At 39.9% G+C, this 20,808-nt stretch overlaps 1 protein-coding gene across 18 annotated transcripts in view; it reads right to left on the minus strand.

Moving 5' to 3' along the window:
• VEPH1 (ventricular zone expressed PH domain containing 1) overlaps positions 1-20,808 on the minus strand; it is a 243,864-nt gene that overhangs the window by 141,608 nt on the left and 81,448 nt on the right. For 16 of the 18 annotated variants that reach the window (XM_047448927.1, XM_047448922.1, XM_024453748.2 and 13 more), the window contains one exon: positions 12,532-12,741. In XM_047448927.1, coding sequence (XP_047304883.1) covers positions 12,532-12,741 — 210 coding nt within the window. Of the gene's footprint in view, positions 1-3,149; positions 4,596-12,531; positions 12,742-20,808 lie in introns of those variants that run through there. The other 2 variants (XM_047448929.1, XM_047448930.1) reach the window with 1 other exon arrangement.

The following is a 20,808-nucleotide window of genomic DNA, read 5'->3' on the forward strand; positions in this document are numbered from 1 at the left end:
ACTCAGTTGAACTATACATCAGCTACAATTGAACTTTCCATAATTTACTCATTACATGACATAATTTACTCATTAGATAATTAGATGCAAGGTGCCTATTTTTCTTTGCACCTACTTATTTTCAAAACAAATAGCCAGGATGTTTTATTCATGGTAGTTGAGATGTAACACCCAAAATACAGGTTAGACAGAAAGATTTGGGTATATTTCATTACTTATAGAGAAGAATAAAATGGAAAAATGCATTTTGCAAAAGTGTAAACCTTGCCTTGGATTGGTGATTTCCTTAGCTAGGGAAAGTTTGATGTAGTAATAATTTCTCTGGTACCTTACCCACCAAACCTTCTAACACTCCCTATTTTAGTTCAAGGATTTTTCCTTAATTTTTTTTTTTTTTGGTTTCGCAGCAACTGTGATTCCTTGTGAACTGCCTTAACTGCTTTCTAGAAGTAAGCAGAGAATGAACAAGTGAATAAATGAATGGAAGCAAATTTCAGTTAATAGAATGGGGTTGTGAAGATACCCCTAGTTAGGATGTCTGCAGAAGAAAAAGTCCGAAATATGCTTGCCTGGAGAAAACCATCAGTTTCCAAATTTGTTTCCACTCATTTGTAGCTCCCCTTTATGTAAATGGTGGAAATAGAGTAAAACAGTTTAGGACTTTTAGATAGGGTTATGTTGAGATCTTAACAATGGTTTAATCTTGCCATTTTTCAATAGAAGAACAGAAGAGTCACTTCACTGTATCTATAGTGCCTATTATGTACATTGTATGGGATGCTCAAATCCATGCATCTTGCCTTTGAGGTTATTCTCACTTCATAAGATGAGGGAAGGTAGAATTGTTTCCTTCAGGGAACATTTGTAACTTTTGCTGTTGCCCCTCTATCACTCTCTTACCCCCTAGCTTTATTTTGTATTTACTAGCCAAGAAGGAGGAGTTGGTAGACAAACAGTGCTTTAGAAATGTGTAGCTGTCATGGAGAAGGTGGGCTCTGGAAACTCTTCTGGATGAAGAAAGGAAGATTTGAATGAGATAGGAGCCCTTATTGTGGGAGAATGCTGCCTAAAGCGGAAGGAAGTTTGCCCTCTTAAAGCAGAAGGCAGCAGAAGGAAGAGCTGGAGAGAATGTAGACAGGAGTAGGAGTTTAGTCTAATCCAGAGATTTAAAAAATCAACCACACATAGTAAATAGAGATTTCAATGAAGCAAGATGGTTAGAAAGGTTTATTTTCTACTTTTCTGAGTGAATTGTTAGATGTTTAGACCTTTATAGGATCTATACTGCACTGAAGGTTGGGAAACATTACCCAGACCACTTTCATTTACTCATCAACAGTTATGGAAACATTTATTTTCTATTTATCTCATATTTATTAATCTTAAAAAGCAATAAATAATTATTCATTTACTTTATTACTTAGCAAGAAATAAACTGATGTCAAGATACCCTCTCAGTGTAATTTCTTACATGTTATCTACATGAATACACGTAGATGACAGCAACCATCTGGTTAATATTATGATCTATACCTGTGAACATTTTAGTGTGATAGTGTATTGTTGCTAAGCCAACTGTTAGATGCATATTTTCTTAGAGGGCTTCAGCTCTGTTCATGTAAACCAGTACCAAGTTCCTAAGCCCTACTCACTACAAAATAAATTCAGGCTTTACTTTTTTGATAAATAATGAAGAAGGCTGAAATGTAAATATAATTTCAAGACAGTATAGTTAGTCATGGCTTTGCAACAAAATTCATCTACTTCCAATTACTCTCCTCATATATTTTGAGAGTACAATTGTTACACGATTTTACATCATAGTGATAATACCTCTGTGTCAAATCCTATAGGGAGTTCTGGGAATGCTTTCAGATCCTACTTGAGCTACAAAAAAAAATCAAATAACATTAAAAAATAAAAACAAGAACTTAAGCAATAGAAAAGACTTGTACATACCCACCTGTGATATTCCGTGTAAACCATTATTTAGGAACACCCTCTCCCTTTATACAGGAGTGGGGATGGAGTGAGGAATTCTAAGAATATTACACAAAAGTGTCAATGCATCACAATTTTTGCCTATTAAAGGATCTTTTTTTTCTTTTATTTTATTGTGATACTGGAATATAGTGGCACAATCATAGCTCACTGCCTTGAACTCCTGGGCTCGAGTGAGTAAAGTATCATTTCTAAGTGAATAAAAAAGCCCCTTTTTATAGCAGAGGGATTGGATTTTATTTAACTTTGCACTTGCATACAGTGCCTTGCATACAGCAGGTGTGTGATAAATATTCATAAACTGTATTGTAGGTAATGCATGATATTTCCTGACTTCATGTATATACTGACATTGTCAAAGATTATGACTGTTAAAGGTTACTGATTATTTACATAAAAACAAGTGGGTCTTGCAAAGAAAATTGGGTATAGCTGTGTGTGTGTCTGGAAACATATATGCATCAAGCAGGTAGTATATATGCGGGCATGTCTAGACTCCCTCAGGTTCTATAGCAGATAAATCCTGTAGGGCCTGGATCCTCAGGAGCAGTACTACTTACACTTTCATGTGCATACACACCACCTGGGCATCTTGTTCAATTATGGATTCTGATTTAAGTTTCTGAGTAACACTCAATGCTGCTGGTCCGGACACTTTGGGGACCACATGGGATGGAGACCGACAGATCCTGAAAAACCAGTATCCATAACTGTTGACTGGAACCCAATGTCTCTAGTTTTCCTGACCTCCTCAAACACAACCTGCCATGTCATCAGATGCCATCTACTAGTACAAGACACTGATGGTCAGCCAAGTTTCAGTCTCTATGGAACAGTTAGTTGGCAAGTACCTGTGAGCCACCTGCTATGAGCTAATTACTTGAGGGGGGGTTATGCCAGGGCCACGAGGAGGTATAAGGTATGGTTCCTTCCTTCAGAGTGCTTATGGTGGGTTGGGAGTGTGTGTATTCATGCACTAAATAAATGAAAAGCAAATGCAACCAGAAAACCATCAGATGCTAAACTCTGTGTTATAGATGTATGTTCTCAAATATTCACAGCAGGGCAGATTGCAATGGCTTGGGAAAGTCCTAGAAATGTCTTTGTCTTGGATTGGGGTTTCCAGAAACAGACAGACCCTGAGATGATTTAAGTGCAAATCATTTATTTGAAAACTTCAGGAAACCAATAGGGGAACAGAAGAGTGAGAAAGAGAAGGGAAACAGCTCAAAAAGTAGCCTGGGAAATTCTAGGGAGAGTTTATTTCATTTGAGGGGTAAAGGAGTTTTGGAAGTTTACAAAACACCAACTCCCATCACTGGTTGTAGGATGCCATGGGACAGCATTCATTCCTCACATGCATACGCCATGTGTCTTAGCAGAATGGCTTGTGAAGTTGGGGAAGCCATAGGCAAAGAAATGCAAATACTGGCTGTTGGAAATAGTTGGAAGTCAAGTGATTTCAGTCTGAGGGCTACAGGCAGGGCAAGGACCTGCTATCATCTTAAAAGAGCAGCAGGAGTTGAGCTGGAATTAGCAACTGCTTCGTCCTCTTCAACTCACCTGCTGCCAATGCCCAGTTGTCCTTTCTGGTGAATCTGAGATTTGTTCACTTGTTAGGCTCATGGCTAGAAAGGGCACTTACTAAGTGGTGGCTTCCTGTCTTTCTTGAGGCAGGCACCTACTTCCCTCACAGACACCAGTGTAGGAAAGTCAGATCGTCCTCCTCTGGAAGGAGGAAGATCAAGTCTGCGGGGACCAGGCTGCCGATTTCTGGAGTTTGATCCTGGTCTTGCAGACACTCCTTCTATGTGCAGCCATGTTATGGGACTTGCCAAACTGTCCCAGCTCACAGGGAACTGCAGGTCTTCTGTGGATTTGGTCAGTTGGCCCAAATTACAGTTAATAATTACAAGACATTGTTGAAAATTTTTGCAACATGTAACTTTTGTAACCATTATTTACTACTCTACATTTGCAAGTATTTTGGGAACTGTTTGTCCTTTCGCCAGCTCTTTAGTTTCTTGGGAACGCTAAGGTACATAGGATTACATTTACTTATCCGCACTATGAAGGGAAATAAAGTACTGTTCCTAGAATCAGCTGAGAGAAGGAAGAAAACAGGAACTATCTGCTAATCAATATGGAATTTTCATAATCTGACCCCAGCCCACTGTCCAGCCGCATCTCTCCCCCTCCCCTCCATTATTCATCCTATGCTCCAAGCACTTGAAATGCTTCATGGTTTCTAGAAGACTCACAGCCTTTTCCTGGCTGACTGCCACTGAATGCGGTGACTTCCCCATGGATACCTTCTTCCTATTCCCCTGACATAACCCTATCATCTTACAAGCCAAACTTATAATGCTCTCCTAAAACTCCCCCACATGGGGTTAGTTTCTTCCTTCCTGGTCCAGTTCAAAATTCAGTAACAGCAAGTACCAAATTAAATTCCAATTATCTGTCTTTACATCTTCCTCATCCCCAGTTGTGAGATCCTCTAGGGCAGGGACCATGTCTTTCTCTCCTCTGTGTCCCCATCACCAGTACTGGGTCTTACAGTTAGAAAGAATCAGCAGCTCCACCCTATATCACTGAGGGAGAGAGGATATGCAACATCAATACTCTTATTTGAAAGTATATTTTGTATGTACTCAAAGTTTGCCTTTGTTTTCCTTATACTTTGTAAGAGGTTTATTACTAATATTATTTACAGTTAACATGTACCCTTTTTAACAATACAAACAAAAATAAAAGCTATTTTCATTTTGGAAAAAAATCCTTCCCCAATTCATGACAGTTTTATAATATTAAGTAGCAGCCACTGGCACCAACCAAGGTTTAAGAAAATGTATCCCCAAAGTCATTGAACCTACCAATGTTTTAACTAAGTTTATCATCCCTGGGGAAATTGTGCTTTTAAGTCACAGGTCCTTCCTCTTGTAGAACGGACCCCAGATTTTTTTTAGTCTTGATTTGTAATTTAAAGGTGTAAATCATCCACCCAGCTCCCATTTCTCAGGATGTTATTCAACAGCCAGGATGAGGACAGTAATGTGGCTCTCAGCTGCCTTTGTCATTCTTTTCCTTTTCCTCCTGAAAGTGTTTTTGTAGGCCTGCCGGATGTCACAGAAATGCAACCTGGGCAAGATGTGTGTCACTTCTTTACTTGAAAAGTGTCCATGACTCTGAGCCCAGAGAGGATGTAATGAACACGCCCTGGTGCTTGGCCAGCATATTCCAGCTAGTTAGAAAAACAAGGCAGAGGGCACAGGATTTAACACACACGATGGCAGTGGCTGCACTCAGGGGCATGCTATTTGATTCTTCACAGATGCGGGCTATTGGTCTGTAGTGAAGGAAAAACAAGTGGCCATAGCATCCTTCCACGTGCTATGAGATCATTTGTAAAAAAAATTTTAAAGCATCTTGTCTCTGTTTCTACCACTAGGTCTACTGCCTTGTAGGTCTGGCACAGAGGAGGGGCATGGTAATGAAGTGCATGCTACATACTGGTATGTGCTTTCCAATAAGACCAGACCCTAAAGTAAAGTAAAGATGACTATTAAACTAAAATTTGTTTCAGTTCACTTATTTGAGGCTTAAATAGATGGAAAGATACATGAATTCAAGTTGGCCTCCCAAAAAAAAAAAAAAAATCAATGCCATTCCTAAAGTGTTCTCTTTTCCAAGTTGACCCATGTTAGGAAAGAGGGCTATAATAACGATAATACCTAACAAGTGAGCAGAGACCACTTGCGTGGCTAAGAGAGTCTAATTAGGGAAGGAAATAATGAAAAAGTAAAACCCTCTAAAGTGGAAACAAACATTCTATTTTGGTCCTCTGTGGACGAGAAACATCAACCTAGTTTGGGTTTAACTTAAACCACTTCATATTTAGTTTAAGAGTTTTTAAAAAATTGCTGCAAACTTATTTGAGCTGTTTATATAGCTGGGGAGGTGGGGACCACCTACCCTTTATGGAAAGCAATGTACTTCCAGTGGCCCAAGAAAACAAGGCCTATTTTAAATTATGAAGGTTTACAAAATGAGGTTTATTATTTTTGTTATCCTTATTTCTCCCACGAATGGTGGTCTGCGATACAAATGTAAAACAGATATACATTCCACCCCGAGGAATAAAAATTTACATACACCAGTTATTTCCTAAAAAAGAAAAATTGTGTAGCCAGCTATGCTTTCCACCTTTAATGTACATGTGGTTGTCTACGGTGCCTCATTCCAATTCTGTCTCCTGATTTTGACTGGTCCCACATATGCCTACCCATTCAGCTGCTTTCCTTGGAGAAGCAGAGGCAAGGTAAGCCATTTCCCTAGTTTTCACCTCCCTAATTTCAGTCTGTTAGGGTCAAGTTTTAGCCTGTATACAAATAAGTGCAATGAGAAAGACTTGGACAATGCTGAGTAAAGTAATAAAGTGCTGGCATTTATCAAATGTTTACTATTTGCTAAATACTGTTCCACATGGGTTAACTCATTAAATCCTCACAACAAACCTAAGAGGTGAATAATATTCCCATTTTACAGATGAGGAAACTGAGTCAAGAGAGGTGATGTAAGTTGCCCATAGCTGGTGAGTGGCTGAGTCAGGACTGAAATCAAGGCAGGCTGACTCTAAGCACACCCTCTTAGTCACCGTGTTACTTTTGCCCTCATCGTAAGCAAATCCATTCATGTAATGGATTCTTGCACAGAGAGTTCCTTGGTGGTGATCACTGCTCAGTCTACAGTGGTGAGTGCTCCTTCTTGGAGCTGTACTTCAACCAATTTGCAGCCTGCTGAGGCCTCGTATATGAAAATCTCTTTATAATCTACTCAGTATCATCTTTCATTTATGTCACCTCCTAGCAGCCATTATGGATGGCCTTGGCTCATCACATGTTTGTTGTATAATGACTCCATATTCCCCTGTCAACTTTATTCTCATCTTTCACCTGCTAGATATCAGAGATAGATTGTATAAGCTCAGAAGTATACAGCCCTCTCCACACTAATATTTCCTCCTCCTCTCTCTTAAGTTATAATTATGTCATCTAGAATAAGTAGACAGACTTGATGGAATCAAAGTTCAAGTGAGAAATCAACCCTCAAATTCTTAATTACCAGTATTCTCAAGTACTCATTCAGTCTTATGGCCACAGATGAATTCAGATGGATTTGATAATATTTATTTCCCCTGGAAGCTGAGAGGTATAGGGAGGAGAAAAAGACATTAACCTGCAAATTGCAACACGACATAATTGAGATACAACCATGACACATTTAAGGTACAACCAAATTACTATGGAAGTATAGACTGGGAGTGACTAACTTTGCCTAAGGGGACTGGGAAGAACTCACAGAAGAGGCAACATTTGAGCTGGGTCAGGTAAGATAAGTAGGAGAAGAGGGTAAAAGCTATCCAGGCAGAATAAGCTGTGAAGGTCTCAACGTATGTCAGAGTAAAGGGTGTGCAGGGAAGGGTGTAAAATCCTGAGTAGTCAGAATGTAGGGGAATGAAGTAGACTGGACAGGTAAGAGGTGAAGCTACAGAAGGAAGCTGGGGCCATGCCAAGGAGTTTGCATAATAACCCATAGGCAGTGGATGAGACCACAGAAGACTTTGTGTGAGGAAGTACACTCACACTTGTATTTTTCCCTCTCTCGTTGGCCTCTCCAGCTAGACAGGTTTCGTTTATTATATTGCTGCTGTTACTTTGTTGTTGTTAGTTGAAATCCATCAAGCATTTTTTTTTAATATGCCAGGAACTGTGTTAAGTGTTTTATATAAACTGCTGGATGGTTGTTTGGGGAATGAACCCTTAGGTGCTACTAAGAAGTCATTTCTGCTCTTGTCTGAAAGGTTTCCACTGCAACCTTCTCATTTGAGAAAGACAAAATGACCCATGTATTTTTGCTGTGTTTTGGACATATTTAATCAAATACTATTTCTTATTTATGAATTTACTTCAACTGAGCATACCAGAGAAATGGAGCAAATCCTGGCATTATAAAGAACTGGATAGATCTTTACTGAAAGGTGCACCTCAAGGGCAACAATTGATCGGTTCTCCCAGAAGCAAATTTCTCTACCCTGGAAGTGTTCTGTGAGTCATTCATGGCCTCCACAGTGACACAAGCACTATATGATTATTAAACATGGCTTTATTTAAGTTTGGGCAAAAAGATTTCTGAGTTAATCTGGGAGATAGAGAAAATAAGAATCTGTAGGATTTTGGTTTTTGTTTTATATATACAACTCTTCTCTGCCGAATGTAATATAGATGGAAAAATTGTGATGCTGCTATCAAGCTGTTGAAAACAGTCTGCTCACCCAGATGGGCACTCATTTGAAAGACAGGCACACCCTGTCATTTCCCAGTAGCCAGCCCTGCAGTTCTTACACCTGGCTTTATGCAAGCACAGAAGGTGAGGCATAAGCCAATCAATAACTTGTGTGATTCCAGGCCGTCTCTACCCCCATGGCCAAATTCTGGACTGAAGATTGCAAACCCACAGGAGACTCTGCTCTTCTTAAAGATCAAACCATGGAGTTTGCTGGAAACCAGAAAACAAAGGAGGTATGCTCTGATAAGTCATAGATTGTATATTATATGCTCTGATCAGTCAGTATGCTCTGATCAGTCAGAGATTGTACATTACAAAAGTTGGAGCAGGATCTCAAAGTTGGATTGGCTTTTCTGTATTTCCAAAATCTTTTAAATCCTGGAAATAAAATTATCTGACAGTTTGAACCCCTAAACCCAACAGACAGGACCACTTTGGTGTCAAAGAGAAAAATTTCAAATGGAGTCAATTTTTAGATGAGACCAGAATAGGATAAGGGAGACGATCCTAAGGCTAGAGGTCACAAGGGTCCTGTGGCTGTCTTACAAGCACCCCCAAAATCCCCATGCCTTATATGGTCCCATGTTTCATTGTCTCCCCATAGACCAAGCTTTCCACATAGAAAGTGGTGGGGCTTTTCCAGGGCAGTTTTTGCCTTTCTTTCTTTGTTGACATTTCCTTTCACTTTGGTACCCAAGACCCCATACTGGGCATCTGCCTTCATGCCCACCTCTCAATGTACCTCAGGAACTTCTTGTTTCTTTTTGGAAAGAGGCTGGGTAGAGATATACACACATGCACATCTTGCCTATTGTCTTTGGTCTTTAGAAATATTGCTCCACAAGGTTTTATTTAGAAAGTTGGACAAATTTACTCAAATTACTCTGTTACTAGCTGCTTAGATTACTACACTTATTCTTGGGACATCTGAAATTTAGCATTCTTTATGGCTAAAATAACTTTCTTACAGTAATATTTCAGGCATTACAAATAATCAAGAAAGAGCATTATTTCTGAGCAAAGGAGCCTGCCTGACATTTATAGGTAATTTTATTAGACTGATCCTAAATAAAATGGAAAAATGGAATCAAATAATATCAGAGCATACGGGAGGTAATCCAGTGTAAAGCCATTAATTTTTGAGGAGAGAAAACAGATCCACAAATGTGAAATGAATTGACCACCTGCAACAGCAACAGCTGTTTGTTCTTCATCATTCTTTCTACCTTTGTCCCCTGTTTAACTGGGCATGGGACCACCCAAATCCAGGTGACATGCTCCAGTCTGCCTTGCAGCTACACGTGGTCATATTCAGCTTTAGTCTATTTAGCTAATGGATTGTAAACAAAAGGTTGTGTTTGATGGCCTGGAAGATTCCTTCTCCCCTTCCCCCTTCCTGCTGGCTGAAAGACTGATGCAATGGGTGGAGACAGTGTCATCTTGGACCATGAGACAGAAGCTATTGCTTTCTGGTGCACTCAGGAATGGTAGAGCAATAAGGTAGAAGGAGCCTGGGTCTCTGAAACATGGCACTCTAGAGAGATTGCCTTCTAGACTTCGTTATGTGTAAGAGAATCAGATATCTGTCTTTGTTTAAGTTATTGTGGTTTTGGATTTTTGTGTTACTCTTAGCCAATGCTACTCTAAGCTGCTATATCAATAGTCTAGAAAATTATTAAATTAATTAGCAATGGCTTGATGGAGGAGGGCAGGATGATGGGTGATGGGCAAGGCCTGATTCTAAATCTAAGAGAGAAAGCACCTTAAATATTCTCTGTCTGGAGTTCCCAAATACTGATCCACAAATAGCTGCGTCAGAATTACCCTGGCACAGGTTCCCGTAAATCCAGACTTCTGGTACTCTTTTCAGGAGATTATGACTTAGTAGGCATTCTATGGGATCCAAGACTGACATTATTTAAAAGCTCCTCACGTAATCCTGATATCCAGATATACTTGGTAATTATCTGATCTACAATTGTTCTCTGCTATGGGTCCCAGGAAGGGGGGTGAATCAGAACCACCAGAAAGATTTGTTTGTTTTGGGGGAAAAAGCAAACAAATTTGAACTGTGAAATAATTTATTCCTCAGGCTATTTAGATCCACCTCTCCTTCTCCTGGTACCCACTGAGAGTCATACAAGTGTCACCAAATGAACTGTTCTCTTTCAGGTTAGCCTTTGATATGGTTTGGATCTGTGTTGCCACCCAAATCTCATGTTGATTTGTAATCCTCAATGTTGGAGGTGAGGCCTGGTGGGAGGTGACTCGATCACGAGGGTGGATTTCCCCCTTGCTGCTGCTCTCATGATAGTGAGTGAGTGCTCATGAGATGTGGGGTAGCACCTCACCCCTCTCTCTTCCTCCTGCTCTGGCCATGAGGTGCCTTCTTCCCCTTTGCCTTCCACCATGATTGTAGGTTTTCCTGAGGCCTCCCCAAAAGCTGAGCAGATGCCAGCATCATGCTTCCTGTTGCAGCCTTTGGAAGTGCAAGCCAATTAAACCTCTTTTCTTTATAAATTACCCAGTCCCAGGTATTTCCTTATAACAGTGCAAGAATAGATGGATACAGCCTTAGTTCAGACAAACTGACAGTTACTTAATTGCATATGGTTATACTGCATGTGGCTACTGTTTTTTGTTTTTCACAGATTACATCTTCCATGGGAGTTTAGTCAACACCAGTGTGCATTACTATACATTAATGAATCATTTGTGACAAAAAGAATTACCATTAAATTGCAGAAAGAGTTCACTTTTTAAAGATTTGATGGCCTCACACCTCAGAGGTTGAATTTTTTGGTTCTTGCAAAGATCTGCAAGGTCAGCAGATTCAGTTAAACAGCTGTCAGGCAAAGTTGGCCTAATAACACTCAGGCATACCAGTGGGTTCTCTTGGCAGAAAAGGTGACAAGCAAGGGAAAGCATTAACAGAAGGCAGAGTGTGGTGAGGCATTCCCAACAGCAGTGCATAGAAAGGGATTATACTAAGAGTACATCTACACCAGAGAAATCCCCTTTGAAGATCCATCCTCACATTGACAGGTGCAGGCTTGGGAACTCAGTTCTCCCGCCCTCCTCTGGGAAGCTAGAGGAGAAAGAGCCTCACCCAGGAGGAAGCCAGGCAGGACTCAAGGGGTTCACTATAATTCTCAGAAGAAATATAATCAAACAGCACCAAAGATGCATTTTAAGACAAAATTCGAAAATGGATTCTGAAGATACCAAAGATCTAATTCTAACTGGGTTACTCACTCAATCTGAGTTTGGGTAAGTCACATAATGTTTCTGTTTTTAATTTTGTCTTATGCAGAATCAAGGGATTGAACTCAATGAACTATGAAATTCCTTTTAAAAGTTGGACAATTTTATACTTATTGAATAGCTAATTATATTATATATAAATGGGTTCAAGGAAAAGCTCTCAGTCAATTATAGATTTGTTTTTATTTTAATATATAAAAATCCTAAATCCCAACATGAAATCATCAGAGAGACATGCATGTCTTTGAAACCTGAATTTCTGAAAACTTTCTTAATCCCCATAAACTCTGATGGCATCCTGTTGTCCCTACTGAAAGATGCCATTATGCAAATATTTAGCCTAGTACTTTTAAACATCCACAAACGTTTATTTCACTCTCCCAAATAACATTCAGAGGACTGAAAACATTCTGAACCCAGGCACTTATTGACATGATAGCTATGGGCTCTCATTAAAGGGTAGTCTATGAAATCTAATTCTGTGCTTACTGATGGTCTCCTGGGTTAAGAGAAATTGCAACCTGAAATGAGATACAGCTCTTTTATTGGTTGTTGTTACTGCAAAGTGGTCTTGAATCTTTCAGTGCTCTCTCCATTTTAACCCTCCTTCTTCAGGTGACACAGCAGCAATAAAAGACTCACTTCCTAAACCTTCCACATAACCCTGCTACTTGATTCAGAGGCCATTGTCCATGTAAAAGGACTGAAAGAGAAATTGGGACTCCCAGAAATCCCAGGACAAATTTGTATGTCATAGAACTCCCAGAAATCCCAGGACAAATTTGTATGTCAAAGAGAAATTGGAACTCCCAGAAATTCCAGGACAAATTTGCACGTCATAATAATCCAACCTATTAAATAGGTTGGATTAAGTGCCAGTGCAATTCAGGGGAATGGAGAGAAAAAAGCCAAACTTACTTCATCCACATGCCCAACAGCTCCATAAATCCTTGCCATCTGTCCAGTGAGGTAGGGGAATCTCTCACCAATCTCTTTCAGCATTGGAAGAAAACTGTTCAAAGCCACTGGCTCATAGACTGCTATCTCTATGAGGATGTTTAGGATGATGTCATTATGGGTTGAATCCTTCAAATGCCCAATTAGGAAAGGAATACACTTCTGAACTACCTATAAAGAGAGAGGAGAGGAGGAGGGAAGAAAGAAGGAAGAAAGAGAAAAGTTAATTAAATTGGAATTAATTTTGAAAGCAAACTTTTTTTGCATTAAACCTGAACTCAACACATTCTGGGATTATTACCCTCCTTGGTACTCAGGCAAATCTCCCAAGTTTAGAATTTAAAATTTACAATAAAATCTTCAGAGCCTTTAGTTCCTTTTCCTTTTAATCTGTGATTTGCTGTTGAAGAGTGAAGTTTAAAATAATGCTTCAGTGTTACTATTCATAAATCAAGTTTTGATGTGTTATTTCCTCATTGGGAATGCTACATTTCCTCCAACCACCATGAAAGCTGCAATTTAAAGGACAATTTAAGTAGGTAGGAGATCTTTGTTGACTTTAATCAAAGCCTTCAAAATGGAGAAATCCAGTTTAGAAATGTTTAATAAATAAAAATAAGAAAGCAGAAAAGATCTCCCACATTTTCTTCAATTTTCCATTTTGATCACAAAAATGTAATAATAAGATAAAATTATTAAAGCAAAATGATTTATACCATAGTCACATTATCTTAATATTTTTTCTTGATTCTTAATGCTTATATGAATGTAAAGGTGAAATTTATCTGAGAAAATGGAATTCTTTTGTGGAATAAAGACTCTATGTTAATACATCACATATTGATAATTTGATGAATTGTTTTGTTGGCTAAAATAGAAGAACTAGAAAGGGAAACCTGTGGGAAACTGAACAACAAAAGTGAAACAGATTTGCCCATCCATATTTCTGTTTGTTTGTTTCTTTTGTTTGTGTTTTATTTACTTTATTGATTTGTCATTTTTTGAGTAGGGTAGACTTTAAATGTAGCTTCCAGTATTAAAACCAAATCTGATACACAGCACCATCTGCCCAAAGTTGAACTCATAATCCACCCCCTGCCAAAAACCTGCTTCTCCCACCACCCCTTCTGGCCCTAAGTGCCTCCTTTTCTCATAAATGACACCATTATCCACCTGGCTACTCAAACTAGAAACTGTTTCTCCCTTACCAGCAGCTGTTATCCAAGCAATCATCATGTCCTGTTGATTCCAATGCCCAAGAATCCCACAGATCTGTTCACTCCCTTCTCTTTATATTTATCCATTAATTCACTCATTCACAAATACTGATTGAGTCCTTCCTATTTGCAAGCTGTAGGTGATGGGGATAGCAATAAGTCTGAAAAGATTCACTGTTTAGTAAAGGAGACATTCAGTAAAAGAAATAATCACATCAGAAATGAACAATTATAAATTTTAATAAATCCCATACAGGGAAAATGTAGGGCTCTGTGAAAGACTGTCCTAGGGCTCTAATTTAGGCAAAGGTTCAGGGAAGGCCTCTCTCAGCGGGACATGGAGCTGAGATCACTGACCCAGGCATCCCACACATGGGTTATTCCAACAGCCTCCTAACAGGTCTCCCTGTCTTCAGTCTTGCCCATCCAATCTCTTCTCAGCTTTAGCCACAATGGTGTTTTTTCCTGCCTTAAAACCCTACAGTCACTTGCCCTTTTTTGTATACCTGACTCCTATCCATCTTCCCACATTCAGTCTCTTGCCCACTTGGTCCACCTTCCCGCAGTCCAGTTCCCACTACACATCACACATCAATTATGATGAATTTTTTTTAAAAATTCTTAACTTGCTAAATTTTCTTTTGCAGCTGGGATTTTACTCATGTGATTTATTCTGCCTGGAATTCTTGTTGCCCCTATTTTGCTTGAGTAGCTCCTGATCATTCTTGAGGCCTCAGATGAACTGTTATTTCCTTAAGAAACCTCCCTCAGCTCCTCTCCTCTTCCTTCTCAGTCTATAGTGCCCTTGTGGAAGCTCCCAGTGTACCCTAAGTGGCCCTGAGCAGGTCCTTCACATGCTTCCTTCTTACTGCTGCTCTAGATGCCTTTCAGGCTGGATTGAAAGCTCCACAAGGTAAAGAATCATCCCTATCTTGTACACTATTGGATACCTAATGCCTTATACAGAGCTTATCCACAAGTTGAGTTAATAAGTTTTTGAGCAATAAATCAAAGGAAGGTAAGTGTAATTTATATAGAGTGACATCTGAATAAAACATCTCCCCCACCCTATAGTAGTTAAAGAGTTGTACACAATGTTTAAACATATACTGTCATGTATTACTACAAAACAACTAACAAGAACATAAAAGAAGAAAGTTTCTAGATAACTAAAATTATCCTATATAGAGATTTAAACTTTAGATTCATATCCAGTACTTTTGGAGGAAATAAAGGGCTAGATTCTGGTAAATGGCATATATGAATGCACAGTTCTACAAATGCTGCCTGTGCATTAGGGAGCAATTGTATGTCCTTCAGGAGAAGCCATGCGAGGTCCCTGGCATATATGGCAGAAGTGTCAGCCAGCTGCTCCAGGTCAGGGCAACATACTTAACCTCATGTTTTTAGCAATGAAAAATGCTTGCACATTTCCTGCCCCATTCTATAAAGTTTCATTTGCCAGTCCTTACTCTTCAGGTCCTGTTTCCTGAACACCAAGGTCTTTGTGACATGTGCTTCTAGTCATGTCACTTTTACTTTAAAATTTAAACTCCAGTGATACGTCCCAAGCTACACAGCATGGGTTTTAGCTGTTGTCCTGTAAAGAACAATTAAAAAGGAAAGAAAAAGAAAAAATGAAGGAAGGAAGAGAAATAAAGAAAGAGAGAAAGGAAAGAGAAAAAGGAAAGAAAGAAATAAAGAAAGAAAAGAAAGAGAGAAAGAGAAAGAAAGACAGACAGACAGAAAGAAAGAAAGAGAAAGGAAGGACGGAAGGAGAAAGAGAAAGAAAGAAGAGAGAAAAGGAAAGAAAGAAGCTCAAGGCAAATACATACACCTGGGCATAGTTGAATCCATAGAAAGAGCAAGGGAAGTGAAGCCCTGAACAATGTAAACTAAATAATAACAATTTTACAAATTAAACAAAAGTTGTTTTTTTTTTTACTCTGAATTCCTAATAGCCTAAAGCTTGTTATGATAATGATAGAAAACACAGGTATTTCTTGAAATTTATCCACACATGAGAAACAAGTCTGCTTTGGGCTTTAGATAGATTATTCTTGGATTAGAAGGAATTTTATTTTCCAAACATAGGGCATTTCCTTAGGCTGGTGTCTTCAGTGCTTCCTCATTGGGAGCCGCCTTCCTGACTCAGGGAATGCTGTGCTTTGCTGAGAGCCAAGTAGCCACTAAGAATATAGATTCTGGCTGCAGAGAACAAGCTGACATGGACTTTGTTCAGGCTGTAAACCATGGACAGCTGAAAAAGCTACCAAACTGGCCTTCTTGCCTCAAGTCTCTGTCCCTTCTGTTCAGGCTCCTCACTGCCACCAGAGTCATAGCCCTTAAACTCCGATCTAATTACCTCAGGTCTCTCTTAGAGACTTTCAAAAATTTCTCATGGCCCATGGCCAAAATTCCAATGCTGTGGTATTCCAGATTCCAGTGTCTTTTTTGATGGGCCTATCTGCAGACTCTTCCCCCATGACCCAGCTACATGGCACTGATCACTCACAGTGGCTTGAACACAGAGAGAAATCTCATACTTTCAAATTCGATCTCAAATCTCTACTTCTTGGAAGTCTTCTTTCCAGCCCACCATAACAAATGCAGGACCTGACACTAGGGTACAAGCAGAGGCCCTTACACCACAAATATTCAGCTGCTATATAAAATGTTCTATCCTCCTCCCTGACAAATGTGCCTTTATAACAATCTGTGATGCTTGATTTGAATTTAGAATGTTTGGACTCTGTAGAGAAAACAGGGAGAGATGTCTCTCAGCCCCCATTCCTTGCCCCATCCCTTCTCTTCTATTTCTACCCCTGGCTTTGCCCTGCATGTGAACACCCCAGTCCACATATGCAAGCTCTTCTAGGCCACCTCTCAAGAATATGGGGTCAACTGTCGGCATGGCTTGTTCTCAGGAGAATAGACCCAAGGACGAAGTCTTCACAAGCTCTGGAAGCAGGTTTGAGATACCTGGGAAAGGAATTCCAAGATCTCAGTTACCTGAACTGAGTTTAGTGGGCAAAGGAGTGGATGGGAACTAAGGGTGCAAGTAAAGGAGGGCCCAAACAGAATGCTCTAAACCAAGTAGCCCAGGGTAGGGCAGCAACCCTGAATTCCCTGGTTTTTCCTGAATAGAGTTAGTCACTTCCTCTTCTGTGCTCCCATAGCAGTCTATTCACGAGTTTGGCATTTTGTCATTGAAGATTGATGGATATATCTTCCAGACCATGTGCACCTTGAGGATAGGGCCATCTGAAAACAGTGCCGTAACTTAATTTACAGCAAACAACATTTCAATTCCTCTGTAAAGAATAAAAGTTTTCAAGCAATTAAAGTCTCAGGATACAAAATCAATATGCAAAAATCACTAGCATTCCTATATAACAACAGCAGGGAAGCAAAGAGCCAAATCATGAATAAATTCCCATTCGCAATTGCTGCAAAGAGAATAAAATATCTTGGAATACAGCTAACAAGGGAAGTGAAGGACCTCTTTAAGCAGAACTACAAACCACTGCTCAAGAAAATCGGAGAGGACACAAACAAATGGAAAAAACATTCCATGCTCATAGATAGAAAGAATCAGTATTGTGAAAATGGCCATACTGCCCAAAACAATTTACAGATTCAATGCTACTCTCATTAAACTACCATTGACCTTCACAGAATTAGAAAAGACTATTTTAAAAGTCATTTGGAACCAAAGAAGAGCCCAAATAGCCAAGACGATCCTAAGCAAAAAGAATAAAACTGGAGGCGTTATACTACCCAACTTCATACTAAACTACGAGGCTACAGTAACCAAAACGGCAGAGTACTGGTACAAAAACAGACACATAGACGAATGGAACAGAATAGAGATCTCAGAAATAAGACCACACATCCACAACTATCTGATCTTCAACAAACCTGACAAAAACAAGCGAGGGGGAAAGGATTTTCTATTCAATAAATAGTGCTGGGAGAAGTGGCTAGCCATATGCAGAAGACTGAAATAGGATCCCTTCCTTACGCCTCATAAAAAAATTAACTCAAGATGGATTGAAGACTTAAATGTAAAACCCCAAAAGATCAAAACCCTAAAAGAAAATCGAGGCAATACTATTCAGGACATAGGCACAGGCAAAGATTCATGATGAAAACATCAAAACCAATTGCAACAAAAGCAAAAGACAAATGGGATCTAATTAAAGAGCTTCTGCACAGCAAAAGAAACTATCATCAGAGTGAACATATAATCTACAGAATGGGAGAAGATTTTTGCAATCTATCCATCTGACAAAGGTCTAATATCCAGAATCTACAAGGAACTTAAACATTTACAAGAAAACAAACAAACATCCCCATTAAGAAGTGGGCAAAGAACGTGAATAGCCACTACTCAAAAGAAGACATTCATGTGGCCAGCAGACATATGAAAAAAAACTCAACATCCCTGATCATTAGAGAAATTCAAATCAAAACCACAGTGAGATGCTGTCTCACGCCAGTCAGAATAGTGATTACTAAAAAGTCAAGAAGAAATAGATGCTGGCGAGGTTGTGGAGAAAAAGGAACATTTTTACACTATTGGTGGGAATGTAAATTAGTTCAACCATTTTGGAAGATAGTGTGGTGATTCTTCAAAGACCCAGAACCAGAAATACCATTTGACCCAACAATCTCATTAGTGGGTATATACCCAAAGGAATATAAATCATTCTATTATAAAGATACTTGCATGCATATGTTCATTGCAGCACCATTTGCAATACCAAAGACATGGAATCAACCCAAATACCCATCAATGATAGACTGGATAAAGAAAATATGGCACATATATACCATGGACTACTATGCAGTCATAAAAAGGAACAAGATCATGTCCTTTGCAAGGACATGGATGGAGCTGGAAGCCATTATCCTCAGCAAACTAATGCAGAAACAGAAAACCAAACACCACATGTTCTCATTTATAAGTGGGAGGTGAACGATGAGAATACAAGCATACGATATGGGAGGGGTGGAACAACACACACTGGGACCTGTTGGGGGGCTGGGGGGAGGGAAAGTATCAGGTAGAATAGTTAATGCATGCTTGGCTTAATACCCAGGTGATGGGTTGATCTGTGTAGCAAACCACGATGGCACACATTTAGCTATGTAACAAACCCGCACATCCTGCCCATGTACCCCAGAACTTAAAAGTTGAAGGAGAAAAAAAAAAGAGCAATTATGTACACACACACATACACATACACATGTGCGTGGGCACACACTTCCTCTTCAATTAGTCTTCAGGCCCAATTTTCTCTTTTAATTACTTTGGCTAGCATTAAGAATCTACTAATCTCTAGAAATGGACAAAATGACTGCCATTTTTATTTACTAATTCCTACCATACTGAAAAATATTATATATTCCAAAAACCATAGTTCTGCTCTAAATTTCAGAACAGTCTACATATTCCAGCACTCTGTCTTCTTAATGTTCTGCAAATGACTTCTTATTTTAAATGAATACCAAAAGTGACCTCTGAGTATTCTTGGCCTCGATTAGGTGTGTGAATAGGAATGCTCTACACTGTTGAGCAAAAATCCTAGAAAATAATTCTCTCCTCTAGGGAACAGATCACAAAAGCAGCTCCTCTGTGTCTGAACATTCATCACCGGAAGGCTTCCCTTGCCACTTCCTGTCACTCATTGCTGTATGCTTGGGGATAGAAGTTAATGTCCCAGGGATAACAACAGATATGCTTATATGTGTTACTAAACTCTGTTCCTTTCGTTGGCTAGACTACAGCATGGTTTACAGCAGCCAAGATTATAGACTTGATTCTCATAAAGGCCACTTGGAAAGTTGATCACCCAGCCTTTTTCTGTAAATGGATCCTGAGAATTCTCTGGAGGTACCAGTTATAAATTACTAGCCAGGAACTGCCTCCTTCCATCTGGCAAGGATAGTGTCCTGAAAAGTAGGATGCCTAGAGGGCAGTGATGGAGGAAGGGGACCCATCTGCTCAGTTAGCCACATCGTGGAGCTCACAGATATGTGATATGTGGATGTTGAAGCGATGCTACCTTCACAGTCTCATGGACTAGTCAGCTTTATGTAGAGAATTTTTTTTTCAAGGGCCAACTGTTGACCCTCCAGCCCTGGAAAGCCATGCTATCCCAGGTCACAGAAGGTGGGTAGTGAGAAGGGCATTCAGGACACATGAAGCATCCCCGCACATTGCCCCTCCCTAGAGAGCTCACTCAGTTTACCTCCAAGTTACAGAGCATCAGGAATGCTTTAATGCAGGCAGGGAAGCTCTACTTGAATTCCAGTTTCACAAAGTCAAAACCTCCTTAGTTAGCTTCCTATTTCACCTGAAATGAATTAGGCTTAACTTGAAAGCTTCAGTCTGTATTTCTGGTTGTCGCCACTTATTTCCCTTCTCAGTAAACCCTTTCTCCACATTTCCTTCCATCTCCCTTGCTCACTGTCTAATTAAGGAAGGGGTGAGGGAGAAGGTGAATCAGGCAGTTTCTGTATTGTACCACCTGTGGTGACAGACCCTTTGAAATCAAGGGTGTGCTCTAGTTCTAGGGGTGCTGGCAGCAGGAACAGAGCACGAAGAGCCGAGGGAGGCAAGTGGAGAGGCTGCTTTACCATGAAGGTAGGGGTGACAGGAAACGGGACTCCACAATACCCCATTACAACTTCTTCCCCCCAGGTAGGATCCTGGCATGGGTGGGGTCCATCCACATCACTCTAGGTGCTCCCTAAACCCTGGCCTCTTTGTTCTGGGATCCACACTCAGCACCCACAATACCTAGCAGAATGTGAGTTCACCCTCTCCTCATTTTGTTTACTCTCCTTCTTTTGTCTAGCCACCCTCCAACTGCCCTTTCTCCCTCACCTTCTCCTGTATCTTCTGGAACTCTCATTTGCTTCACAAGCCACAGCCTTGATTCTTTAGTGTGTTGAGGTCAAAAGATTTCATTGGTTGGAATTAGACTGGGTTTGTGTTGCAGCTTGGCCTGAT

This window comes from Homo sapiens, chromosome 3 (assembly GCF_000001405.40).
Source record: "Homo sapiens chromosome 3, GRCh38.p14 Primary Assembly".
Taxonomy (NCBI): Eukaryota; Metazoa; Chordata; class Mammalia; order Primates; family Hominidae; genus Homo; species Homo sapiens.